At 35.5% G+C, this 26575-nt stretch overlaps 1 protein-coding gene across 5 annotated transcripts in view; it reads left to right on the top strand.

Annotated features, from left to right (window-relative positions):
* Positions 1–26575, top strand: part of LRRC49 (leucine rich repeat containing 49) — a 200281-nt gene that overhangs the window by 69743 nt on the left and 103963 nt on the right. For all 5 annotated transcript variants that reach the window (NM_001284357.2, NM_001199017.3, NM_001363732.2 and 2 more), the window contains one exon: positions 13641–13702. In NM_001284357.2, the coding sequence (NP_001271286.1) occupies positions 13641–13702 (62 nt within the window). The remainder of the gene's footprint in view (positions 1–13640; positions 13703–26575) is intronic.

Genomic DNA, 26575 nt, shown 5'->3' on the forward strand with positions numbered 1-26575 from the left:
ATGTTTTACTGTGATTTCTTTTTTGATCCATGTGTTATTTAGAAGTACACCTTAACATTTTGAAATGTATGGATTTTTTATTCTATGGCCATTCTTTTCTAGTTTAATTGCATTGTGACCAGTAAATGTAGATTATGTGTAATTGGTACTTTAACGTTTGCTGAGGTTTTTATTTACTTATTTATTGCCTGGTATGTGGTCAGTATCTATAGTTGATGCTTACTATCAATGTATTTGTCTAGTATTTGTCAGTATTTTGAAGCTATGTTTCTAGAAGCATACAAGTTTAAAATTAATATATCTTCTTGGTAATTGTTCCTTTTATTGTTATGTATTAACTCTCTTTATTACTAACTCCTTCATTAAGCAAGTATTTTATGAGCATGGGCTATATGCCAGGCATTGTTCTAGGTAGTTGGGATATAACAGGACACTAATAATACTTATTACCTTAATGTTTATTTAATGTTAATACCAGGCTTTTCTGGTTATTTTTCTTTGGTATATCTTTTTTATTTCCTAACCTTTTTAGAAAAATTTTTAATTTGATATAATTTCAGAAAATGTTGTAATAATAGTATAAAGAATTCCCAGTACAAAATGCACCCGGATTCTCTAAATGATAACATTTTGCTACATCTGCTTTATCTTCTCTCTTGCTTACTTTCTCCCTTTTTCCTTCTCCATATATCAGTTAATATATACTTTTTTTCAACCATTTAAGAGTAAGTTGCTGGCATAATGCCTCTTTATTGCCACATACTTCGGTATGTATTTCCTAAAAACAAGGAATTGTCTTATAACAACAGTACCACTATCAAACTCAGGAAATTAACATTGATATGATGCCATTTATCTAATCTATAGATCTTATTTGGATTTTGCCATTTGTCCCAATAATGTTCTTTATAGCAAAAGAAAATACAAGATCATGCATTGCATTCAGTTGTTATATCTCCTTAGTCTTCTTTAATCTAGAAGAGTCTTTTTTTGTATTTCATGACATTGACATTTGTGAAGAGTATGGCAGGAATGTCAGAGAAAAGATGCTGAGTTTTTTTCAGTGTATATGAAGTATGTATTCTTTAACTTCCAACCTTTCTCTTAAAAAGAATGCATAGCCCCCCTTTTAAACATATAATCTGAGAATCTGTCTTATTACCAGAGACTTTAGTCTATTGTACTAATTGTAATTACTGATATGTTTAGATTTTTTACTTAGATGTTATTTCATGCTTCCTATTTGTTATATTTTCCCTATGTTTTTATTTTCTTCTGTCTTATTTTGGGTTGATAGTGTTTTCTCTGTTCTTTCTTATTCACTTTAATGCTTACTCTTAGCATTTTAAAATATACACTTGACTTAAATCACAGAGTTAATACACATCTCTACACTCTTATCAGATAAGGACCTTAGAATCATTTAATACAGTAACCTTTCCATTTTACATGTTTTTGTTGCCTAGTATTTTCTTTTTATTCTTTTACCCCCAAAATTAGACATTTTAATTGCTATTGTTTCCAGTCAGTGCTTATTTGGATTTGCCCACATGCTTGTTTGGGTTCACCACTCCTTCTGCATCTCTGTCTATCCTTCTTCCCAAAATATATCATTTAGAAAAAGTTTCCTTGAGATAACTCTGAAGTCTCTCAGTTTTTGTTTATCAAAAAATGAGTTTATTTTGCTTTTATTCATGATTGATGGTTTGACTTGACTGACAGTTATTTTTTTCCCAGACGTTTGAATATCATATTCCATTGCCTTTGAGCTTCTGTTATTGTCATTAAAATGTCTACTATCATTTGTGTGTGTCTAGGGTATCTTCTTTTCCTTCCTCTGGTTGCCTTTAAGATTGTAAGATTTCTTTTTGAAGTCCTTCAGATTTACTATGATATGTTTAGGTGTGGAACTATCTTATTTTATTAATTTGAAACAGACATTTTCCATATTCCAACTCTGAAATCTAGGTATGTCTTACAATCTATAGCATGCTTAAATCAATGTTATACAGGCTACAGCAATTTCATTGCCTAAATATATGTGGACTTGGTTATGCTGTTTGTACTATTGTCATTTCAGTTGTTGGTACTGTATGTTTTGAGTTTAATCACTGTTCAAAATGCATTTTAAAATATTACACCATGATTTGGCATTGAAATGAAACATTCTATTCAAAAAGTTATGGAAATAGGGCAGCAAAGACATTAAGTTTAATATTAGTGAGACAAATTATTTTTCATTGGAAGAATGGCCGCAATTCTACCTTCTCTTGCTAATTAACAATCAAATACTTTAAAAGGAAGATAGCCATGTATTACTGAAGCTGTATTACATTTGTTACTGAGATAGATTCAGAGAGATTTTGCCTATCATGTGTCAAGCAATGCAACTGAAGGCAGAAGAAATTGAGGAAACCCCTTGGAATAGATGAAAGAAATTTCAAAATAACAAGAAGCTGTGTGAACAATTCATATTGGTGCTTTCTTTGTCTTATAGTATCAAAACATACAGAATGGGTATCAGTATTTGGAAGAAAATCCCATATACAATAATGGAACACACTTTTAGGATATACTGCATCATCAATGTTCTTAATGGCATAGAAGACAATATTGTGTGAAAAGCATGGACATTATTAGTTGAAAAGTGATTGAGAAGTTTAAATCTAAATATGAAGACTTTTCCTTCATACTTTATTGAGGGATAATTTAGGTACAATAAAATACACAATCAACTGTACAGTTCAATAGCTTCTATTTAATCTGAGTAATTTCATGTGACTGATATTTCTATCACCTCAGAAAGTTTCCTTGTGCCTCTTTCTAGTTAGTACCCTCCCCTGCCCCACAGGTATTCTGACTTCTATCCCTGTGGATTAATTTTGCCTGTTTTTGAAAAGTACATATATAAAGATTATGTACTCTTTTGTATATTCAACATAATGTCTTGATATTCATCCATTTTGTTGTGCATATCAGTAGTTTAAAAAATTATTGAGCTGTATTCCATTGTTGAAATATCATACAATTTGCTTATTCATTTTTCTGTTCACAGGCACATTGGTTATTTCCAATTTTTGGCTCTTACAAATAAAGCTGCTGCGGATATTCTTGCAGTTTTTAAAAATTATTTATTTATTTAGAGATAGGGTCTCATTATGTTGCCCAGGCTCGTTTTGAACTCCTGGGCTCAACTGATCCTCCTGCCTCAGTCTCCCAAAGTTCTGGAATTACAGGCATGAGCCACCAAACATGGCCATAGTTTTAAGTTTACATATATATTTTGGTGGACAAATGCTCTCATTTCTCTTAGGTAAATATGTAGGAGTGTTATTACTGAGCCATAGGGTAGGTGGATGTCTAAATTTATTAGAAACTACCAGTTTTTTTGTTTTTTATTTTTTATTTTTATTATACTTTAAGTTTTAGGGTACATGTGCACAACGTGTAGGTTAGTTACATATGTATACATGTGCCATGTTGGTGTGCTGCACCCATTAACTTGTCATTTAATATTAGGTATATCTCCTAATGATATCCCTACCCCTTCCCCCCACCCCACAACAGGCCCCAGTGTGTGATGTTCCCCTTCCTGTGTCCATGTGTTCTCATTGCTCAATTCCCACCTATGAGTGAGAACATGCGGTGTTTGGTTTTTTGTCCTTGAGATAGTTTGCAGAGAATGATGGTTTAAATTTTTGCAATCTACTCATCTGACAAAGGGCTAATATCCAGAATCTACGAAGAACTCAAACAAATTTACAAGGAAAAAACAAACAACCCCACCAAAAATTGGGCAAAGGATATGAACAGACACTTCTCAAAAGAAGACATTTATGCAACCAACAGACACATGAAAAAATGCTTATCATCACTGGCCATCAGAGAAATGCAAATCAAAACCACAATGAGATACCATCTCACACCAGTTAGAATGGCGATCATTAAATAGTCAGGAAACAACAGGTGCTGGAGAGGATGTGGAGAAACTACCAGTTTTATGAAGTGATTATACCATTATACTCCCAGCAGCAATAGAGAGTTCTCATTGCTCAAAATCCTTGCCAAAGTTTGTCAGTCTTTATAATTTTAGCAATTCTATGATTCTCATTGTGCTTTTAATTTGCATTTTCTTTATTACTAATGATGCTGAACATCTTTTCAAGCATCTTTTCATCTTTTATGAAGTATCAGTTCAAATCTGTTACCTGTTTGAAAAAATTAGGTTATCTTTTTATCATTCTAGATGCAGGTCCTTTGTTTGATATATATATATTGAGTGTATTTTCTCCATGTAAAAAGGCTTGCCTTTTTACTCTCTTAACAGTGTTTTTGATATGTAGAAACTTCTAATTTTAGTGAAGCTCAGTTTAGCAATTTGTTTTTGTTAGTTGTTATTATCTTTTGTGTTCTGTCTGAGAAATCTTTTCCTGTCCCAATATCATGACTATGTTCACCTACATTTTCCTCCAGAAGGTTTATAGTTTTACCTTTCTATTTAGATATGTGATTCATTTTTATTTTCATTTATTTGTTTATTTATTTGAGACAGAGTTTCACTCTGTTGCCCAGGTTGGAGTGCAGTGGCTCGAACATAGCACACTGCAGCCTTGACCTCCTGGGCTGAAGCAATCCTCCCACCTCAGCCTTCCATGTAGCTGGGACTACAGGCACATGCCACCACACCTGGCTAATTTTTTTATTTTTTGTAGAGATGGGGTCTTGCCATGTTGCCTAGGCTGGTCTCAAACACCTGGGCTCAAGTGATCCTCCCATCTTGGCCTCCTACAGTGTCAGAGTTTACAGGCATGAGCCACCATGCCCAGCCAGTCATCCATTTTTAATTAAGTTTATGTATGCTGTGAGGTAGGGGATCATAGTTCATTTTTCCCACATAGGGATATCTATTTTCTTCATTATCTTTTATTTAAAAAACTTGCTTTCCCCACTGAATTAAACTGTTGTCTTTGTTGAAATCGAGTACTAATCAAATGGATCTTTTTTCTGGACCCTCTATTCTGTTCCATCTATTCGTCTACGTAATATATACCAGATCCAGTCACATCTTTAGGCTCCACTTTTAGTTCTAGCTCTTTTGCCCTTTCTACCGCATCTATATAGTAAGTAGAGATATTCTGGAAGTTCAACAAATTTATTTTGTGTAACTTACTTTTTATGTATGCATAAAAACGATATTCAGTAAAAAAATCTGGTTAAGTCTAAAAGAGCTCTTTCAGTAATAAACACAAATTTTAAGTGATATATTATTCTACTATAAGTTAATTTTAAGTTTATTTTCCCCAAGTGCTGAATAAAATAGTTGTAAGATAATGTTAGATTTAATAAAATGTGGTAATTTTATTAGCATACCTAATATTTGTGTTTCCTAAATCTGCAGATTCATAACTTTCATTTATTTATTTATTTATTTATTTAATTTTCTTTTATTTATTTATTTATTTTTGAAACAGAGTTTCACTCTTGTTGCCTATGCTGGAGTGCAATTGCAGTCTTGGCTCACTGCAAGCTCCACCTCCCGGGTTCAAGTAATTCTCCTGCCTCAGCCTCCCGAGTAGCTGGGATTACAGATGTGCACTACCATGCCTGGCTAATTTTGTATTTTTAGTAGAAATGGGGTTTCACCACATTGGTCAGGCTGGTCTCGAACTCCTGATCTCAAATGATCCACCCGCCTTGGCCTCCCAAAGTATTGGGATTACAGGCATGAGCCCCCGTGCCTGGCACATATCTTTCATTTATTATGGGAACATTCTGAGTCTTTATATTTTCAAATATTGCACTTCCATTTTATCTCTTTCTACTTCTTAAACACCTGCTAGATATAGTATGGACCTTTTCATTCTATTCTTTGTTTCTATAATTTTCATCATTCTTATTTCTCTCTGCTTCATTTCTTCATTCTTATCACTTATCTGGTTCTACCTTTGAATTCACTAACTTTATCCTCAATTTATCTAATTTGATTTTCAGTCCATCCATTGAGTTTTTAAAAATGACCGTAGTTTTTTCTTTGTAGAAGTTCTACATGAATTTTTTTCATAAATGCCCAGATGTCTTTATTTCTAATGCAGGTATACCTTAGAGATACTGTGGGTTCAGTTCCAGAGCACCACAATAAAGCAAATGTAGGAATAAATGTAGGAATGAGTTACATGAAGTTTTTAGTTTCCCAGTACATATAAAAGTTATGTTTACACTATACTGTAGTCTATTAAATGTGCTATAGCATTATGTCTAAAAAAACTATGTACATACCTTAATTCAAAAATACTTTAGTAATAAAAAATGCTAATGATCATCTGATCTTTCAGCAAGTTGTAATCTTTTTGCTGGTGGAGGGAGGGTCTTGCCGTGATGTTAATGGCTGCTGACAGATCAAGGTGATGGTTGCTGAAGGTTGGGATGGCTGTGGCGTAAAACTCAGACAAAAATGAAATTTGCCTCATTGACCCTTCTTTTCATGAAAGATTTCTCTGTAGCATGAGATACTGTTTGATAGCATTTTACTTACAGTAAGACTTCTTTCAGAATTGAAATCCGTCCTCTCAAACCCTGCTGGTGCTTTATCAACTAAGTTAATGTGATATTCTAAGTTGTTTGTTGTCATTTCAGCAATGTTCATAGCATCTTTTCACCAGGAGCAGTTTCCATCTTAAGAAACTATTTTCTTTCCTCATCCGTAAGAAGTGACTCCTCATCTATTCAAGTTTGGTCATGAGATTGCAGCCATTCAGTCACATCTTTAGGCTCCACTTTTAGTTCTAGTTCTTTTGCCCTTTCTACCACATCTGCAGTTCCTTCCTTCACTGAAGTCTTGAACCCCTCAAAGTCATCCATGAGGTTTGGGATCAACTTCCTCCAAACTCCTGTTAATGTTGATATTTTGACCTCCTCCCATGAATCATGAATGTTCTTAATAGCATCTAGGATGGTCAATTCTTTCTAGAAAGTTTTCAGTCTACTTTGCCCAGATCCAGTAGAGGAATCACTATTTAAGGCAGCTAAAGCCTTATGAAATGTATATCTTAAATAATAATCCTTGAAAGTTGATATTACTCCTTGCTCCATGGACTGCAGAATGGATGTTGTGTTAGCAGGCATGAAAACAACATTAATCTCCTTCTACATCTCCATCTGGGCTCTTGGGTGACCAAGTGCATTGTTAATAAGCAGTAATATTTTGAAAGGAAAATTTTTTCCTGAGCAGATCTCAATGGTGGGCTTAAAATATTCAGTAAACCATGCTGCAGACAGATATACTGTCATCAGCATACAACTTTGTTGTTCTGTTTATAGAGCACAGGCACAGTAGATTTAGCACAATTCTTAAGGGCCATAGGATTTTCACAATGGCAGAGGAGCATTGGCTTCATCTTAATGTCAACAACTTTGTTAGCTCCTAACGAGAGAGTCAGCATGTGTTTTGAAGCTTTGAAGTTAGTTATTGACTTCTCCTCTCCATCTATAAAAGTCCTAGATGGTATCTTCTTCCAATAGAAGGCTGTTTCTCTATATTGAAAATCTGTTGTTTAGGGTAGCTACCTTCATCAGTTATCTTAGCTGGATTATCTAGGTAACTTGCTGCAGCTTTGACATCAGCACTTGCTGCTACTTCACCTTGCACTTTTATGTTCTGGAGATGGCTTCTGTCCTTAAACCTCATGAACCAACCTCTGCTAGCTTCTAGCTTTTCTTCTGCAGCTTCCTTATCTCTCTCAGCCTTCATAGAATTGTTGAGAGTTAAGGCCTTGTTCTGGATTAGGCTTTGGCTTAAGAGAATACTGTGGCTGGTTTGATCTTTCCAGACCATTCAAACTTTCTTCCTATTGTTTTTATTTATTAATTGTGTGTTCCACTGGAGTAGCACTTTTGATTTTCTCCAAGAACTTTTCCTTTGCATTCATAACTTGGCTAGCTGGTGAAAGAGGCCTGGTTTTCAGCCTATCTCAGCTTTCAACATGACTTTCTCACTAAGCTTAACCATTTCTAGCTTTTGATTTTAAGTGAGAGACTTGTAACTCATTTTTTCACTTGAGCACTTAGAGACCATTGTAGGGGTTATTAATTGGCCTAGTTTTAATATTGTTGTGCCTCGAGGCAAAGGTAGGACCAAGAAGAGGGAGAGAGATGGGGGAAGTGCCAGTGAGTGGAGCAGTCAGAACACACATTTGTTGATTAAGTTTGCAACCTTCTATGGGCACAGTTTGTGATGCCCCAAAACAATTGCAATAGTAATATCACAGATCACTGATCACGGATAATCATAACAAATATAATAATAATAAAATTTGAAATATTGTGAGAACTACAAAAATGTGACCTAGAGACGAAGTGAGCACATGCTGTTGGAAAAATGGCACTGACTTGGTTGATACAGGATTGCCACAAACCTTCAATTTGTAAAATTTAAAAAAAAGCACAATATCTGCAAAGCATAATTAAACGAGGCATGCATGTACCTTATTTTTTCTTGTTTTTAATTTTTTTCATTGCTCTTATAAATTTAAAGATAAATATTCCATAGTCTTTATCAAGTTACTATATTTTCTTAATTTTTTGGCATTTCTTCATCTGTTGCCTGAAAGTTCTACTGACTGTTACTCATGGTAATTTTTTCTTTATAGTTTAATAGTTTGGAATAGTCAGGATGTTGCAAAGCCTGAGTTGAATTCGTGTCCTTCTAGACAGTTTTGCCAGGAGTGTTAGGGTCATGAATGCCAGGTACCATTTTTTATGAGGGGTCTTTTTAGATTATGTTTGTGATGTAAGTTTGAACTGTAAATTCCAGTGAGGGAAAGCCTATGGTTATGAAATTGAGGCTTTTTATTGATTTCCTCAAAGCTGTTAAATCTAGCTCTCCTAGATTATAAAGACTGGACATTTCCCTAATTAGTCAGCATATCAGTGCCTTCTTACTGGTCTGGTTTTAAGTTCCCTTTCAGTTTTTGCTCTGGGGTATTAAAACAGTGTGTAGAAGAAAATCAGACTGGTGAATTGACTGATATCTATTGCTGTGTAATGGGTAGTAAACAAGTACAAAAACCAGATAAACCCATTAATGCCTTTGGATAACTGCCAAATAATGGACTTTTTTCATTGGCATTTATATATATGATTAGAGTTTTAATATGATGGCTTGCAGCTATTAGTCCTCATATAATAAGTGTCTGTGTCACAAAGTGATAGGTGAAGCAAGTAGTTATTTTGGAATTAATTTAATAAGTCTTTTTTTTAAAAAGGAATACTTCATTGTTTTTTGTTTCCAAGCTTGTTTGATGCTTTGTGAATGAATCTGTTTACAGCTCTCAAAGTTAGAATAATTACCCCTATATATTTTTACTCTAACTTGTTTTGTATGAAAGCCTACATAGTAAAAATGAGAGTAGCTATGATTTTATTATAGACATCTTTGCCCTACTTGTTGCATGTCAGAATCCTTGGTGCATGTCAAAATCTGTTCACCTTTCTTCTTCCTTATTCCTCTAGAGGAAGCTGCTCTAAAAATAGCTCCAGTGATAGATATTCCCCACGTGATCAGATTGCTGAATCATTTAGTTCTTTTCTTTTCTTTTTTCTTTCTCTGTCTTTTTTTTTTTTTTTTTTTTTGAGATGGAGTCTTGCTCTGTTGTCCAGGCTAGAGTACAGAGGCGCAATCTCGGCTAACTGCAACCTCCGCCTCCCTCGTTCAAACAATTCTCCCGTCTCAGCCTCCCAAGTAGCTGGGACTATAGGCACACGCCTCCGTGCCTGGCTAATTTTTGTATTTTTAGTAGAGATGGGGTTTCACCACACTGGTCAGGCTGGTCTCGAACTCCTGATCTCAAATGATGCACCCACCTCACCTCCCAAATTGCTGGGATTACAGGCACAAGCCACCACACCTGGCCATTTAGTTCTTTTATGCAGTTTAGGGATATGGACAACAGTGCCTGAGCAGAGTAGGACAAGCATTTTTCTCAGAAAACAAATCAGTATTTTTTTGGAAAATAAAGAATTATAATCCTCTCAAATAATCTTGTGGTAAATAATTTTTTCTATTTTTTAAAAGATTATATTTTCCAAATACATAAAATAGTTTTGAATTTTACTTCAAAAAATGTTTTGAATATTATTTTCAGTATTATGTTTTATTAAAAATAATAAATTTAAGATAATGAGGAAATTAATAACGAGCTATAAATATTCCCCTACATGTAAACATTTTATTTCATTTTTTTCCCTCTCATCTTAGGTATGTTAACATTCTGGCTTCTTTGTTATAGTTTCTCTGATGCTGAAATAGTTACCTCCAGAAAGGATATGTTAGGGGTATTTAATGCTTGACAGTAAAATAAATACTTTTTCTTAAATAGATGAGAATTTACCTTTCTTACATTATCCCTAACCCCCATTTCCACTTTCCCTGTCATTCCGAAATAATTTTTAGGTAAGCAGATTGTTGAGTGCTGGCTCCTGCAGAGTACCGCCAGAATGACTAGTTGATAAAGCAAAGGAGAAATTACTACTGGCAAGTAAAAGCACACTGCCTTGACATAGCCTTGGCTGTATCTTCGAAGGCAGAGACAGGAGATTTAGTTTGAAATTTCTTGGGGTTCTGGTTTAGGGTGGGTCTTTCAATGCAGGGGCTTAATGAAAATGGATACATTTATGATAGAATAGATTAGGATGGTTGACAAAGCACGGTGAGGTTTTCAAAGTGAGTCTTGGACCATGATGTTAAACTTTTGTTTTCCCTGAGATTAATAGCTGTCTCAATTTAGGGCTTGTTTAACTATCATTAATGTCCAAACTCTCCAACAAAACCCTAAAATCCCTTTCTGTATAGGCAAAGACTTCAGGTGATCTGTGTTTCATTTTTACCTCTTGGAGATACCCTTCTAGAGCCTCCTGTCCCCTGTCTAATGAAGTCTGCTTGCATTTAGCCCTGCTATACAGATTTCATCCTTGGATTTCTCTTTGCCTCTCCTAGATGATGAATTGTACTCCCTGAATCTTATATATATCCCATCTTTTGTTTACTCTCTTATATTAGAGGAGCCATCCCCTAGTAGTTTTTAACAGGTCTTTCTTCTGTAAATAATGCATGCATAGATAATTGATACGGTAAATACGGTGTTTTCTTTTTGTCTATTATAATGCTAGAATTTTGTTACAAAAGTATATCACAGAATTGCTAAAAAATTGGAGAAAAGTTAACATTTTCTTACAGAAATGAAATTTGGAACAACGAAAAATGATTGTGTATAATTATTTGCTTTTTAAAGTTCTGGAAAGGGTATCTATGTAAGTGATTATGAGGATATATAGAATTGAATTCTGCATTTTAGTGTTTCAACTTGTGAATATTTTTATATTTTTGATAACTCTACTAGGCAATGACATTTAATGATTTTTAAAATTTGATAAAGACGTAAAATTTTGTCTCATAAACAGAGATTAAATAATTATAATTTTGTCAAATAAACTTAAAAAACTTTTTCTCACAAATTATATCCTGATGGAATTTGAGTTTTCTATTTTTATTGAAAAAAGTTATGTCTTAGAAGGTGTTTATAATCTCTGAAGATGGCATGCTGGAGCTCAAAGGGACAGATGTATTTTTTAAATGAGATGCCTTGATTCAAAGGATTTAAAATGTATTTTTAAAGGCTGCTACCTCTCAGTTTCTCCAGGTTGAGTGCCAATAACAATGATTGTGCCCAGAAATATCTCAGGTAGATTCCAGGAAGAATCTGGGAGAAGAGATTTCCCCAGGAATACAGAGAGGGTTTTCAGTCTGGCTATGACTTCATGTTTCTAGAGACCAGATAGGCAGCAGGCTGCCATTTCCTTTGGAAACTAGGGCCCTGGAGTGAAATGAGCCCTACCACTAGTCTATCACTCCTCCTCCATTTATGGGAATATCAGAGAGAAGTAGCTGAAAGAGATGATTTTAAAAGTTTGCCAACATATGAAGTATATCACCTACTGAGGGAAATTTGGCTGCCCTCCTGTTTCCACAGACTTACTCCTTGGCCATGAAAAGCTCTAAAAATCATTATCTCACATCTGTGGAATAGGCTTCATGGGAGTGGGCCTGAGAATGGTAATGTCAAATGAATGGTATACATAGCCAGTGTATTGATCATGGGCTATTGTATTGATTTTACACTGTTTAGGGTCTAAAGGGTTGAGAGAAGTTTGGAGAATAGTACATAGGGTAGGTAGAAAAACAAGGCAGCTTCATTTTTCCTTTGCTCCCTGAAAAACCATTAAAAAGTGGTTCTGTCCTAATTCTATCACTTTTATATTTTCTTTGAATAACAAACTTTAAAAAAATAAATACAGCATTTTGGGAAAAGCTAGGTTTGTCAATAATTTTAATGCACTTGCCTAAACTCTTACTCGGGTCTTAGAAATGGTAGTTTTCAGATGGAGGGAAGAAAAGGAGGGAGGAAGAAAGACGATGATTTATGGAAACAGTAAAACAAGTTTTGATTTAGGATTAAATATTGGTCACAATAACATATAAAATATACTTATTTTTGTATTATTCAAATTAATGTAACTGAGAATTACTGCAAATGATACTGCCCTTAAAAACGAAAAACATTTTATATGAGACATGGCAGTATGTAACACTTTGAGGATCAGAGCACTGGAAGTCAGGATACTGGAATCTTTCCCTGTCTCAGCCTCTAGGGACTGACTGTATGTACTCCTGGGCCACCTTCCCACCACACCCTTATTCTCCCCCTGTAGTAACCTCGATTGGTCACTTTTCTAGGTGAATAATAAAGTTGTAGACTTGGTAATTACCAAGCGTCTGTAAGATTCTGTTACTCCATTATATATAAATCTTTTCAGAAGGTTTATGTCTTTTCATGAAATGAATTAGGTAGCTTTTACTTTATTTTTTGTTGTTTTTTTTTAAATAATTTGGTCCTAAGCAATTCAATATTTGTTAAGGTTAACTGTATTTAAACAGCAGTGGTATGTTTTTGGGGTGGTGTGCATAAATATAATAGGGTAGATTTCCTATTTTAAGAACCTCTGATATGAGCTTAGATGAGAAATTGCCCTTACAGTACCCTTCAGTGACACTTACCATGATTTGCTTTTAGTTTTATGGGGGAATCATTAGTGTATTGGTTCATTTGTAACTGATGGTTTATTTCCAAGGTTTTGAGACCAGTGAGTTAAATAGCTTTAAAATTCTCACTATTGTTTAGAAAGCTAATTGTATAAATTTAAATGTTAAAGCTTTTGAATGGCTTCTTTTTAACAGTGATTTTTAACAAATGTTTGATCATACTGTATTTGTGCTACAGTTGAAGTGCTGAAGTAGCATTTTGGCATCTTTCCCAAAAGCATGCTTAAAGAGGCTAGCGGCAGCGTCTCTCCCTGTCTCCTCAGTGCTTTTTACCTTGCGAGTGGTGCAGCTTGTTCTGCGGATGTACTGAAACCCTCCCATTTAATCTGCAGTGGAGGAGAGTGGAGCTCACTGTCCAGTAGAAATCAGTGATGTAGCAATGTTGCAGTAAATAGAAATGATTATATATTTCAATAGCTTAGCAAGAAGACATTTATAATATTTTTTTCTTTCATCTGATTAAGTTTTGCTGTCTATTTTCTTCCAGAGAGATGTGGATAATTTGCCCTGCCTCCAACATCTCTTTCTCAGCTTTAACAATATATCTAGGTAAGTGGAAACTCCCAAGTTGTCATTCATTATAACTTGATTGTGTGAGTTCTAGTGCTTTAGATTAAGATTGTAAATACCTTGGAGAATTTTACTAGCATGGAAGATTTTAAATTAGAAAATGATAAGACAAAGTTCTTTGTGGAAAAGCAAAGCTCTTGTGTGTATTCTTGCCTGTAATGCTAACATGATGAAATTAATATAGCATGTGCTTTTGATTTAATTATGCTTTAGAGTTGCTCTTTTGTAAAACATGAGTACATAGAAATTTCAATGTATATTTTGCTGTCCTTTGTTTGACATTCACGGCACTGGTCAGTTGAATTAGAATTTCTTTCATAAATTGTCAGCTACAATTTGTATAGCTACTAAGCAATTTTAATACAGCAGGCTATATTTGTCACTGAGCCACTTGCTAATTAGGCCAAATTGCCTTCTAACTTAGTATCTCTGCTTAGAATTAATGCTGCTAAGAGACAGTGGATTAGAATATAGAAATGTATAAATTTAGTTTTCTAACTATTTGAAGCATATTATCCTTTATATTGTGATGATGTCTCATTTAGAATTGGAGCTGAGACGTACAGTAAGACTTTTCAATGCAAAAGGGCCCCTACTTTTTCCCTAATTCTTTCCTTCTCCTCCTTCCCAGGAGCCACTTAGTTTGAACTGGGCTTTTTAATGCCCTCAGTTCTTTAGTTTCACTTCAAAGCTGTTCTTTGAATCTGCTTTTATAAGAGGGTAAAAAATATATATAAAAAGATTTAGAGCATATCTTTTTCTGAACTCCAGGTCTATGCTTCTGTATTAAAAACTAGTTTAATTTTTGTGTGTTGTCTGTTGGCATGTTTTTTGCATGTCTGCCATCAGACTTGTTTTAACCCAATCATCCTGTACTATGTCTCTAAAAGACAGAAATTATCTGAAGACAGTGAGCTTTGCAAATAGACATTATTTTGAAGAAAATACTCTTTCTCTTTTTTCTCTTCTGTGGGAAAAAATATTAAAGTTTTTTTGATAGACTTTTCATATTCCTCTTAGTATATTTTGAATGCAACATTCCAGGTGCCATTATTCTATCTTGTTGGGGAGGCAGAATTTCTTTTCAATGGCAATGGAAGGGTCACTCATTTTTTTTAGGGGAATTTCCTCCTAAAAATCATTAACAACTCTTTAGAGAAGATAGTGTCTCGTTTTTACAATATGCAAAATATTCTCTGTTTAAGATACAAACTTTTAGATTCCCCCAACCTGTGGTGGAACTCATTACTTCTTTTGCTTCTTGTTTATGGGGAGTAATTTAAAGAGATATATAAATTTGGTTATATAGGGGTTATGATGTTCCCAGGTCCCCAGGATATCTGAATTTCTAAACTCCTAAATTCCTAGCTCTGTAGGAAGTTGGTTTTGGTTGCCTATATCTGGGAAGTTTTCTTCCCAACCTGGAAAGGAGTTCTGCTCACCCAGCAAAACAAAGTTAAGATTAATGAGATTAATATTTACAACTTTCTTTAAAAAGTGTGATTTCTCAAGAAAATAAAGATAGAAGTCAGCTGACAATTTTGAGGCTTTTAAAAATTCTCTCTGTGATTGCTTTCTTTGTGTTTTTATATGGCTTTCACAGTATACCTTCCTCTAGTGTTTCCAGCGGATCTGCTTTTGAGGCACAGTATGTTTCCTGCTCTGTTTTTGTTGATGCTTGTGGTCCAGGAGGTGGTATAGTGAATATATTGGGTCTGAGGAGGGAAAAATCAGAGAGAACAACTTTGAAAACATTTCTGTGAACTTTACTCAAGATACAGATATCTCAGATAGCTGGGCTGTCAGATAACCTGTAGTGATAGCTACAGTATATATTCAGGGCACAATTGTTCTTCTATATCCTGGCATAATAGAGTTGCCAGGTTTTACAGTGCCAGCTTTCTGGGACCTATCTTCCATGGACTCTAATTCAGTAGTTTTAGGTAGGGCTCAGGAATTTGTACCTTTATTTTAAAAATGCAGCTGACTTAAAAATACCAGTGGTCTGTGTTATTCAAACTTCAGGTCAAAACCCATATAGGGATCCTAAGATCAATTTAGTGATTTAAAACCAGACAAATTAAAATGGAATGGAAAATATCAGAGTTTGTCACACATTTTAAAAGCATACACTGTTGCATAAAAATTTTCCAGTTTTAATTATATATGGATATGTCTATGCATATGTGTGTATGTTATTTTACTATAGACAACATGGAAACTGGGTTACAATGTAAATATGTTTCTTACTATGGGTTAGATGAAAAAATTTGAAAAATTCTGTGAGATATAGCTTCTTATATTTCCACTATTATTGCAGTGTTAGAGTTTATTGTACTTTCATTTTATATTGTCCCTTCTGTTAGACTGTAAACTTGACAAAGGCAGAGGAATATGTCTGTACTGCTTACTACAGCCTCTTCAGCATCTAGCATGTATGTGTTCTTAGTACAGGTATCACTAGTTGTATTGAAAAGATTTATAAGGAGAACTTAATTCCTCAAACAGAAATATTTTTCTGTGTGATCTAAGAACTCTTTTTGGTGTGTCCATTTTTATGTTATTACTAGGTCATTTAGTCTGTGTTTAATGTGTGGACCTGTGAGGTTTAAAGCCATAAGCAAATCAAAGTTCTCTTGGCAGTTGTTTTGGGCTTCCAGGTTAATTTGCTGATTTGTCAGTAAGGATCTTGCCCATAATTTCTAGAGAAACTAAAACTTTTATTTATGCAGTGGGGTATATCAGGGTTAGGGTGGTGGGTGTGGTGTGTCCCAGGGTACAGACAATGAGGTACGTTGTCTGTAAGACATTTAAAAACAATAAAACTGACAAAAATAATGTTGCTTTTTATTGTCACTTTGCATTGGAATTTCTAACCTACGTCACTGTTAAAATAGTCTTCTCTGCCGGAATGACCTCTCATACCTCTTTTCTTACTTTAGTAAGACAATGTTATTTGGACTCAGCTTTTTCTTTATGATATCACTGAAAATTTTAAACTAGGTTTTTTTTTTTTTTTTTTTTTAGGAAGGAATGCTGTTTTAAGTTCTCTAATGACCTTTGTTAGTACATATGTTAGTACATATAGTATGGTTAAAGGTCACTGAAGCACACGCTTTGGGGTGTGACTTTTCCTTCATCACTATTCTCTAAGACAAGATAATCCTCCGGGCTGTTTTCAAAATTTTACTGAAAATGGTTTATAATTTTACCTTTATCAGGAAATCATTCTCCTTGCATTTTTCTCAAGTTATATTTCAGCTTGATAAGTCACCCTATATCAATTATATTTCTAGAAAAGAATCTATTTCTATTTAGGAAACCTTAAACTGCCCTGCAGTTGTCTAATTTAGTACTAGTTGGTATTTTAAGGAGGAAATTATTTCACTGACCTTCAGAATATATGGATTTTTTTTTTTTTTTTTTTTTTTGAGACGGAGTCTCGCTCTGTCGCCCAGGCTGGAGCGCAGTAGCGCAATCTCAGCTCACTGCAAGCTCCGCCTCCTGGGTTCATGGCATTCTCCTGCCTCAGCCTCCTGAGTAGTTGGGACTACAGGCGCCCGCCACCATGCCCGGCTAATTTTTTTGTGTGTGTTTTTAGCAGAGACGGTGTTTCACTGTGTTAGCCTGACCTCGTGATCCTCCCGCCTTGGCCTCCCAAAGTGCTGGGATTACAGGCGTGAGCCACTGCGCCGGCCTATATGGATATTTTTTATGAGCTCAGGTTGTTAGATAGTATTCCTGTAGTTGAGATACAAGGTTTTATTCTTGTGCCTTCCAGGATTGCAAGTGTCACTTACATTATTTTGGCTTGAAGGAAAATCATTTCCCTTAGTTCTAGTATGCAGCATACTGTTAGAATGCCTTTACTTTTCCTTTGTTAGCAGATAACCAATGATATGCAAATCTTCTTACTGAGTTAAACAGAGGAAATCAACTATTGACAGATCTTTTCTGACCATCTGCTAAGTTTTAAATTTGAGAAATGAGTACATGCTTGTCAAGGAAATTTCATTATCAGTACCCATTTATCTACTGAACTCCTCTTGAGGGGTTTACCAAATGGTTGACACGTGATTCGCCTTCAGACAAACATTTAATTGCATTTTTCTAAATGTGATGGGCATAATGTAAGGAGGACCCATAAAAACAAGATTTAAAAATAGGGGCATTTGTTTTCATCCATGCTGCTTTATTCCTTCTTTGTGAGTAAACCCCTCTGAGTATAGTAAGGTGGCATATAGTGCCTTAGTAGGTCTGACTGTAAAGCCTAGCTCCAGCTTTTGAATTCTTTTAGTCAGAAAATAGGTGAAAATAGATATTCACAACTAATGATAGATATGTTCTACCGCTTCAGAAAAATAGACTTTGAGGTAAGATCAATTTGTTTGATCATCCTCAGGGCTGATGTAATTATTGGGTCTAAATTTATTTTATTTGAAACACAGCACTTATACTAAAATAATTTTTCTATGGTTTTTCATTGTATATCTTATTTCAATACTACTTTATTAAAGTGCTGTTTTTCCTTTTAGAGATCAAAAGCAAAAATTATTCTAAAATGTTATAGAATGATAGTTTCTGAGGACGATTTTCCACAAGCCTTGCAATTTACTGAAGAGTCAGAGTTCATGGGGCAGGGGTAGTAGAGAGTAAAAAAAAAAAAAAGAAAAGAAAAAAAGAAAAGGGGGCCAATGTACAACGTAATGGGGAAACTGGGGACCCTCTGTTACATTTGTTGTATTCCTTTTGCATTACCTTTGAAGCAGCAAAAAGCAAAAAAATCTAATGGATAGCAGTCACTTTTTAAATTATTATTACATAGCTTCTTTTATTATCCTCCTTATATCAGCATCTATAACCATTTAAAGCATTAATGCTGTAAGTACAAAAATACATACAGATACTCTCATGGATTTTATTTATAACATTATAAAGTGGAGAGTGCTACCGTGTATGCTTTCCAACTTCATTTTATAAAATGTTGTTGAAATTAATCTTTGCAAAATTGTAATCGTTTTCTATTAAAAGATTGCCTTTCTTTAATGGACATTATGAGTCAGTTGGAGGGTTTTTTACCTGTACCTTCTCAACCAACTTATAAATATATATATGATTGCAAACTCACAGGAAATTTTCCAGATATTCTTCTATAATTGTAAGCCTCCATTTTTATTACTGTAAAGGTTATGTGTGTGTGTGTGTGTGTGTGTGTGTGTGTGTGTGTGTGTAAGCGAGAGAGAGAGTTTTTCTAAAAAGAAGGCTTCTGGAACTAAAATTAAACTAAGGCCTGGGAGCAGGCTGCTTGCATACCTTGTGTCAGTCTGAGTTCACACATACATATTTGAGAGGCTGATAGCTATTCATAGCAGTGAGTTAGCAGTTTTGAAAACACTGATGTACCAAAGGTCCCTTTGGATTTTATTCACGTGAAGGTTCTAAAAGTTGCAGGAAAAATTTTGGTGCATAAGGGCCTTAAAATTAATTACTCATGATTACATACTGGGTGGTGTTCAGAAACAAACAAGTATGATAAATTGAGACCAACATACGTTTTATGATTTCCTTTGTATTTTGTTTTACAAAGGCATGAAAATTCAAAGAATATTCAGAAACAAAGTATAAGTATATTAAATTCAAAATCCACTTAGAAACAAACTTAAGATATATAACTAGTTTCCCCTAGTGCATTTCTTGTACTTATATTATAGAAATACTTCCAAAAGGGATTTGAGGTAGTATCAATGAAGAGAGTCAAACTCTGTAAAATATTTGAAGAGATTTATTCTAAGCCAAATGTGAGTGACCATGGACCGTGACACAGCCCTCAGGACGTCCCAAGAACATGTGCACAAGGTGGTCAGGGTGCAGCTTGGTTTTATACATTTTAGGGAGGCACGAGACATCAATCAAATACATTTAAGAAATACATTGGTTTGGTCCAGAAAGGCGGGACAACTCGAAGTGGGGGGAGAAAAACAGAGATCTTGCTTCAGCTGTTTCCTAACTCATTTATGAAAAGGTAAGATAGCCCTCTGTCAGAAGCAAAAATATCTACGTGATTGTATAGATTTTAAAAATCTATATAAATAGCTGTTTTAAAGTTCTTATCTACTAATTCCAACATTTGTGTCATCTTTAGTACTGTTACAGTGACTTTTTTTCTCGTTAATATATGTTTCAATTTTTATTGCTTCTTCCTCATCTGGCAATTGTTTTGATTGTATTCTGGGCATTGTGGATGTTCTGTTGAGAGATTTAAGGATTATTGAGTTTTGTTTTGATAGCTACTAGAGAATCAGGTTGATCCTGTTGAGGTTTATTTTTAGTTTAGTTTTTTTTTTAAGGAAGATCTAAAGTGATACTTATTATAGAACTAGAGTAGTATATTTTTATATCTGTTACCAGCGGCAAATCTATATGGGTCTGCAGCAACCTCAATTCTTGCCTCCTCAGAAGAAAGAATTTGACTGAGGGGCATAAGGCAAAAGGAGAGACCAAGGCAAGTTTTAGAGCAGGAGTGAAAGTTTATTAAAAAGCTTTAGGGCAGGAATGAAAGGGAGTAAATTACACTTGGAAGAGGGCCAAGTGGGCAACTTGAGAGATCAAGTGCCCAGTTTGGCCTTTGATTTAGAGTTTTATACGTTGGCATACTTCCCAGGTCTTGCATCCCTTCTCCCCTGATTCTTCCCTTGCAGTGGGCTGTCCATATGTGCAATGGCCTGCTGGCATTTGGGAGAGGCCGCATGCACAGTGTGTTTACTGGAGTTGCACACATGCTCACTTGAGGCATTCTTCCCTTACCAGTCAACTGTTCCTAGAAGGTCATATACCAGTTAAACTCTGACATTTTGCCTCTTAATGCACATGCTTGAGCCCACTTGCCCAACTCCAGTGTGAAGCCACTAATTATCAGTAGATCTTATTGGGAAACTACTGAGTATCAGTTTCAGGTTTTTTTCTATCTATTGGGAGACTGCCTTTCCCTGGTGCCTGCTGCAACCAATTCTTATTTTAGAGAAACAGTGTAACAACTGCCTGACCATCACCTGAGGGTCGCCTGACATTCCTGGTTGCTGGGGAGCCCTCTCCAGCCCCACTGGAGCCTGGCTAGCTACTTACTGTAACACATCCATATTTTTTTTGTTACGACAGTAAACATAAGATTTGTGTATCTGAGGCAGACTGATTATTTACCTGCAGAATATCTTGTATTAGTTTCCCATGCTCCATTTTTTTCCCATGGTGCTGTGATAAATGCAGATGTCACCTGCATGTATGAGGAGGGGCCTCTAGTACATGAGAGAAACCCCAAATTCTTAGTCTTGAAGCTTATATAGAAGCTGCTTACATAACTGCACCTTCTCCCCTCCAGGACGGAAAGAGAGAACACAGAGAGAAACTGAGACCTTGTCTTCCTAATGTAAACAAATCCTCTCTGAAGAGAAAAGTCAAAGGTGTTTTGGCCAATAATCTTTTGGAATATAAACAAATGGCTCCACATTTTTGATACCCTTTGAAATGTAAACACATAGTTCTTAGAGATAAATTTCCATATTGCTCTTTTTTTTTCTTTGAGACCCAGTCTCACTGCTCTGTCGCCCAGGCTGTAGTGCACTGGCGCGATCTCCGTTCACCGCAACCTCCGCCTCCAGGGTTCAAGCAATTCTCCTGCCTCAGCCTCCCGAGTAGCTGGGACTACAGGTGTGTGCCACCATGCCCAACTTATTTTTTTACTTTTAGTAGAGTCAGGGTTTTACCATGTTGGCCATGCTGGTCTCAAACTCCTGACCTCAGATGATCTGCCTGCCTTGGCCTCCCAACGTGCTGTGATTACAGGCGTGAGCCACTGCGCCCGGCCTAAATGTCCATATTGCTCTTATCATTTCTATCTATTCAGTCACCCTTTAATCAAAGTGCCAATTTTCTTTGCTCAGAAGGCCATTACCATGCAGAAACATGAAAATATTCACATTGTTTCTTGACACAGAGTCGCCTCACACCTAAGGCATGGCTGTTCTTGGACTTCAGATATATAATCTGGGTATTCATTGAGGTCTCTTCACTCTATTTGGTTGGAATTGCAATGTCTCCCAGTTCCATGTGACCCATAGATACTCTTCATCTCACAGCCCCTCAATAGTTATATTTTGCTAGGCTTTGTGGAATTATACCCTGTGTACCCACATCCTAATATTTAGCCAAATACTCAAGAGACCCCTATGCAGACTTCTGGAGTTCCTTCTCTACAAGGTTCCCTCCTCTCCATTCCTCTTCACCCAAATTCCAGTAGCCTCAACAGACCCAAATTCTGACTTCTATTTCATCTACCCAGTGAGACCTCTGTTCTGTCTCTAGCTCCACTTCCCTATGCTATGATCTGTAAGTACCCTCAGGCAGAAAGCCGAGATGAACGTGGCTTTTATATGTCTGTCTTCTCCCAAGGATCACAGCCCTGAGCTAGTCAACATCTGCTTCATATATTTTGTCCAGTTTCATAGTTGTTTACATTGGGAAGGTGAGTCTGATGCTGTCATGGCAAAAACTGCAAGCTCTATCTACCAGATTTTCAAATTGTCATGATTGTATATCATCTCTGCCATTTACCTGTCTGGTACTTAAAGAATATGGAATTCCCCTTAAATCAACAATACATTCTTTCTGTATTTAACAACCTGTGTGTGTGTGTGTGTGTGTGTGTGTGTGTGTGTGTGTGTGTGTGTATCTGTCTGTCTGTCCAGGTTATTAGACGGGTTGAATTTGTTTCCTTTTTATTTGTTTTTAGTATTAAAGATGTTTTTTTTTTTGTAGGACTGAAACTCAGCTTGCTCAGGAAGGAAAATAATTGCCTGACCATTAAGGGCATTGGGCTTGGTTAAAAGAGGAGGGTATTTTCTTCTTTAAAAAATTTTGCTTCCATGCAAGTAAGGAAGTTGGGATTCTCCATAAGGAGGATACTTCTGGAAGTGAAACAGTTAGGCTTGTTTATCCTGGATGCACAGGAAGGTATCACAGTGACTTAATTATACACCCCAAAATATCTTAAAAAGTAGTTTAGAACTGTCAACTAGTCTCTGGGCATTGTTTGGTTTTGTTTTAAACATTTTTTAAATCAACAAATAAAAGTTGTATATATTTGTGGTATACAAGATAATGTTTTGATATATATATATACACACATTATAGAATGACTAAAACCAATTAACATATATGTTACCTCACATACTTATCTTTTTTGTAATAACATTTAATGTCTTATTTAAAGATTTTATTAAAGAACATTTAAAGTCTTAGCAGTTTTCAAGTATACAATACATTGTTATTAAATATAATCACCATGTTGAACTAATTCCTCCTGTCTAACTGAAATTTTGTATCCTTTGACCAACATCTCCCCAATCACCCTACATGACCATAGCCTCTGATAACTACCATTCTACTCTCAGCTTCTATGAGTTCAACTTTTTTAGATTTCTCATATGAGTGAGATCATGTTGTATTTGTTTTTCTGTGCCTGGCTTATTTCACTTAGCATAATATCCTCCAGGTTTGTCCATGTTGTCAAAAATTACAGGATTTACTTCTGTTTGAGGCTAAATTGTATTCCACTGTGCATATATATACCACATTTTCTTTATCCATTCATTATTTAAAGATGCTTAGGTTGATTCCATATCTTGGTTATTGTGAATAATGCTGCAATGAACATGGGAGTACAGATACGTTTTCAACATACTAATTTTATTTCCTTCAGAATATACCTGGAAATGGGATTGCTGGTTCATATGGTAGCTCTAATTTTAATTTTTTTAGGAACCTCCATACTCTTTTTTATAATGATTGTACTAATTTATATTGACAGCAACAATGTACAGGGTTTTCTTCTCTCCACATTCTCACCCACACTTATCTGTTGTCTTTTTTATAAAATACCCATCCTAACAGGTGTGAGATGATATCTCATTGTGGTTTTAATTTAATGAATTTCCTTGATGATTTTTTTCATCTACATTTTGGCCATTTGTAATCCTCTTTTGGGAAATGTCTATTGTAGTCCCTTTTTTTTCATAAAACTTCCTTTTTATGGCTTAAAAAGAAATAGACAATGTCAATTATAGACCCCCAGGTTAGAGACCATAGTTTTTAGTTTAGGAATATCCTGGGAAGCACTGAGTAAATGTGAAATAAGATTAATAATATTTTTCTGCTAGTTTCTTCAGACTTGTTTTTGGGGCTTGCTTTTTGGCATTTCATGGGTATTGGCTTGTTATTCTTCAAAATGACCTACTTCAGGGATTATGAGTGATGCCAGTTTTTCATAGCTGGGTGGGTTTAGGATCTAAGATTATCTTAGGGATATCCTGAGGATGTGTTATTTTTACCTCAATAGTGATAGCTAGTAGCTGATCCTCCTCCTTCCTGTCCTTTACAATTTCATTAAAATACCTTCTCCATCTCTTTCATCTAAAGAATTCAAGTTTTTTTCCAAGTTGGTTGTTGAAGAACATTGATTATGTATCTTTATGTTTAAAACACCAAAAAAGGCATTGTGGAGAGTAACAGAAGTTAAACATATGACTTTTGTTTTCCATGAGTGTATAACCTAATGACAGAGAACATACAAAGACGTGAGTGACAGAAACATGAAAAAAAAACCTTGCAGCTTTTGGAAAAGCCAACAGCTTGAGAATCACAGTCTGTCACTTAGCAGTTCTAGTATAAAGAGCGCTTCATCTCTGATTGCTCTGGCAAAAGGTTCTGAAGAGCCTTAATGTTCAAAATTGTGTCCTTGAACCAGCAGTATTAGCATCACTGGGAAGCTTATTGGAAGCCCAGGATCTCAAGCCCTACCCTAGACATTCTGGGTGAGAACTGTCATTTTAAAAAGGTCTCCTGGTGATTTAAATGCACATTACAGTCTGGGAAGCACTGCTGCAGAGGATTCTGATTGTGTTCATTTAGGTCAGGTGCCCACTTGGAATGAATCGCCGCAGCCAGGGACATACAGGACATACTGAATGCTCAATCCTGGGACATATGGTCCTTATCCCCTAGGACAATGGGTGTGGGATCAGTTTGTGGAATGGGTTTACTACAGGAAAGGGGTGTTTTATTACCAAGGGAAGGGAAGTTGGGAAAGAAGATAATAACAATAGTTGTCCAATAAACTTATTTCCTCTTTCATGCCTTTGCTCACATTAATGTTAGAACTAGCTAACTCCTTTACTTTGGGTCATTTCATCCCATTTCCTGTGTGTGTGTATGTGTGTGCACACGTGTGTGTTCGTGTGTGTTCTACTTTCAATCTCCCCCACCCCTCATTGCCATCTGTCTGCCTGACCTAGATATCAGAGGTTCTTCCTTATTCCACAGCATGGTTCTCCTGTCCCTCTCAGAGAGTTCATATCTTTCAAATATATATAAACACGTTATGGATAAGCACACACATACCTCTGCCTAAGTCTAACTTTACTTCATTGCACTCCTGATAGAGCATGTGTGCTTCACCTACTGCTTTTCATTCTACCACTAAGGCATTAACCCTTGGAGTCACGCCTTTTAAAGCTGTGAATATCTGTTAAAATGTACTTGTATTAATATTACAGGGGGTCATACTTTTAGCCCTCAGGAATTCTGATTCCATTAGCAAAGTTTTTTTTTTTTTTTTGCATACAGGGAACAAAAGAGGGATGTAATCCTTTACTATTATTATTTATTTTGATGTTCATATTTTCTCTGATTTCTCAAGAAGGGTCCTGTGGTCTTTTGATGTGTCCTCATTCTTTAAGTACTTCCTTCCTTTCTGGCCCAACAAGATGTTCCAGGCTCATCTTATACTTTTGCAGTCCTAGCTCTGGAATCAGCCATTTCTCCAAGGAGTTCTAATGACTTTTAGTGGAGAATGCTGTTTAGAAACTAAGATTTGAGTGCAAGGTGTGCTTATCCTTTTTGAGTTATCATTGTTTCTGGGCCATCTCAGTGGATAGAATTAGGAAATATGCATGTGTATATGTATGTGTGTATGTGTGTATTTAGATAACTTAAATTGGTATCATATACATGATTCTTTGCAGGCCAGTTGGTCTCTGTTTCAAGTACTTAACTTTCCCTTTGTAACACAAAAGCAGCCATAAATAATATGTAAATGAATGGGCAGAGCTGTGTTTCAATAAAACTTATTTATGGACCCTGAAATTTGTATTTCATATCATTTTCACATATGACATATTCTTCTTTTGACATTTTTTCTAACCATTTTAAAACATAGAGGCCATTATTAACTTGTGGGCCATACAAAAACAGGTGATAGAGCATATTTGGCCTGTGGGCTGTAGTTTGCCAAGTCCTGGTCTTTCCGAAACACTTTCAGTTTACATACAACACACATACCTATATAGTCATACACTGAGTAACAACATTTTGGTCAACGATGGACCACATTTACAATGGTGGTTACCTAGACTATAAAGGAGCTGAAAAGCTCCTGTTGTCTAGTGATATCATAGCCATTATAACATCATACCGCAACTTATTACATATATATTTTTGCTGATGCTGATGTAAACAAACCTACTGAGCTGCCAGTCATATCAAAGCGTAGCACATACAGTTATCTATGGCACACAATACTTGTTAATTATAATAAGTGACCCTGTTTTTGGTTTATGATGTACTATATAGTTTTCCCTCCATATCTTTATGGGATTCCTTCTAGGAACCCACTCGACCCCTCCCGTGGATACCAAAATCCACCAATGCTCCCCAATATAAAATGGCATAATATTTGTGTATAACCTATGCACATGCTTCTGTATACTTTAAATCATCTCTAGATTTCTTACAATACCTATC

The sequence above is a fragment of the Homo sapiens genome, chromosome 15 (assembly GCF_000001405.40).
Source record: "Homo sapiens chromosome 15, GRCh38.p14 Primary Assembly".
Taxonomy (NCBI): domain Eukaryota; kingdom Metazoa; phylum Chordata; class Mammalia; order Primates; family Hominidae; genus Homo; species Homo sapiens.